Here is a 2,362-nt window from a genome sequence, read left to right as displayed (position 1 = left end):
TAGGTCACCTCAGCCAGAATTTCATCTCATCCTTGAGGTTTCTTATTAGTAACTTCCTATCCACTGACCCCCACCCTGTTACCTGGCTTCTCACATTCTTTGTATTCAGAGCTGAGCTCGATCTCATTCCCCTAAAACAAAACCTAATTTTTGTAGCCTGCCTGTTTATCTATCTCAAGTCCCCTTGAATAATCTCTCTTCTTTTTTGAGACAGAGTCTCACTCTGTTGCCCAGGCTAGAGCACAGTGCCACGATCTCAGCTCACTGCAACCTCTGCCTCCTGGGTTCAAGCATTCTCCTGCCTCAGCCTTCCGAACAGCTGAGATTGCAAGCACGCGTGACCACCCAGCTAATTTTTGTATTTTTAGTTAAGATGGGGTTTTGCCATGCTGGCCAGGCTGGTCTCGAAATCCCGGCCTCAAGTGATCCACCTGCCTCAGCCTCCCAAAGTGCTGGGATAATAGGTGTGAGCCACTATGCCTGGCTTGAATAAGATCTTTTTACCATATTTAACAAGTATTATCAATAATTTTTAAAAGAACTCTACCATCTGTTATTTGGAAATTTTTGGAGAAAAAAGAAAGGCATTTTCCTGACATACCTTGATTCTTTGCTTTAAAGTGTTTCTTCAGCCACAGTAATTGAAACAAATTTTCACGATAATGCTTAAACGAAAGATTCAATCTTTTGTGGTCCATTGAATTTGTGATGCATGTGATGGCAAGGATAGAATCCTCTGCATTTTATCTGACTCAGCAGACTTGTACCAGATTGCCGAGCCAAGGAAAGCCAGGCTAGCCCTTCGGCAGCAATGAGAAGTCAGAGAACTGCTTCTTGCCCTAAAAAAACACCTGCATGTGCAAATATTTCCAGTCAAGTCTATCCTTAAGCTGTAGGGAGATGGCACAAGACAGAATGACGCACTGGTGATGGCCTCCACTAGCCGAGGAATCTGTGTCAGCCTGTAGAATAAAGTCTTTTCGTGATCATTATCCTAAGGCTTTGAAAATTCACTTAAATCTTCTTTGTAATGTTAAAGAGCTCACAGGGCCTATTGCCTTTGTCATTTTGACCACTTCTAGGCCAGCAAACTGAGAGGCATAAGTGTGCCATGCTGGCAGCTCAGCAGGAGTCACACCCAGGGTGTTCTTGCCAGAGCTTTTGGATGGGAAAGTTAAAGAAAAGAATCAAGTCACGCTCAGAACTCTTTCATCTGAAAATTGTTCTAAGCAAGGTGATGGTTTCCAGTTAATACTCTGAAATTAATATCAGTAAGAGCATCTCTTTCAAAATTAATACTGATATGAACAATAATTCATTGAATTTAGAATAATAATGCATTGCTATTAATGCTTCTGGCCCTTAGCCCAGGAAAATCAAGAAATCAAGCATTTTCCTTAGGACACAGACAATTTTTTTTCCTCTTTGGTTTTCTGTAAATTATCTCATTTGCTGATAATAAGATTAGTTTATGGTAAGCCTTTTTGAGAACATTCATGTTTAATTTCTTAGGTTTTCCTCTTTAACATCTTCTCAAATCTATTGATAGAGGGCATGATACCTAACATTACTAGATTAGGCGTAGGAGGATAATATGAGGTTTGGATGCTGTTCAAACCTGGAGAAAAAAAATATTTTTTGTTTATACTTATATTTTCTAAAGTAGTCTTTAAATTTGATTTTCTTACCACTTCACTGAACTCCTGTCAAAACGCAACAAATCATGGGCTTTGCAATTATACTAACCTGGGTTTAGATCCTGTCACTTAACCATCTTGTGATTTTAGATAAATTACATTATGTAGCAGGCAGTTAGGAAATGCTGACTTCCTTTAAAAATTTTTCCTATCTTGCCTCTAACCTCACTTATTTGCCATAGAAGTACACTTCTTTCTTTATATTTCAAATCCCATTTTCTCATGCATATAAAACAGCATAGCTGCTATCCAGGTGCCCAAAATACAATACATGTGAGAGATACATTACACAAATGTAATATATTTTGAGTTCATTGTGGCTCAATTTTCATCACATTTAAAGAATCACAGTTCATAAATATATATTCCCCATATCCAGAGCTTGATTTTGACTACTCCACTTCCAGGGCCGTGTTTCTCAACCAGTGGCAGAAGTACCTCTTTGGAGATATTTACAAATACATATAAATGGTTTCACTTTTCATGATGAAGAGCATTTCCAGCATTTAGTAAGTGGCTGGCACCAGAGATACTAAACATCCTGCAATGTGTGGGACAGTCCTACATGTTGAAGAACAGTTTTCCTAATACCAACAGCACTCTTTGGGATAAATATTATTCCAGAGGATACTCTAGAAAGAACATTCTTAATGCATAATCTTTAA

General features: G+C 38.5%; 1 annotated feature.

Moving 5' to 3' along the window:
- Positions 662–1,411: an enhancer, noted in NCBI's record as "OCT4-NANOG hESC enhancer chr5:86224749-86225498 (GRCh37/hg19 assembly coordinates)". NCBI's record gives its function as "activates a minimal SCP1, AML or CMV promoter by ChIP-STARR-seq in naive H9 embryonic stem cells {active_cell/tissue: H9 hESC(naive)}" and the evidence as "EXISTENCE:reporter gene assay evidence [ECO:0000049][PMID:30033119]".

Source organism: Homo sapiens, chromosome 5 (genome assembly GCF_000001405.40).
Source record: "Homo sapiens chromosome 5, GRCh38.p14 Primary Assembly".
NCBI classification, from domain to species: domain Eukaryota; kingdom Metazoa; phylum Chordata; class Mammalia; order Primates; family Hominidae; genus Homo; species Homo sapiens.
Note: the sequence above shows the minus strand (reverse complement) of the source record. Positions and strands in the feature narration are given on the sequence as shown.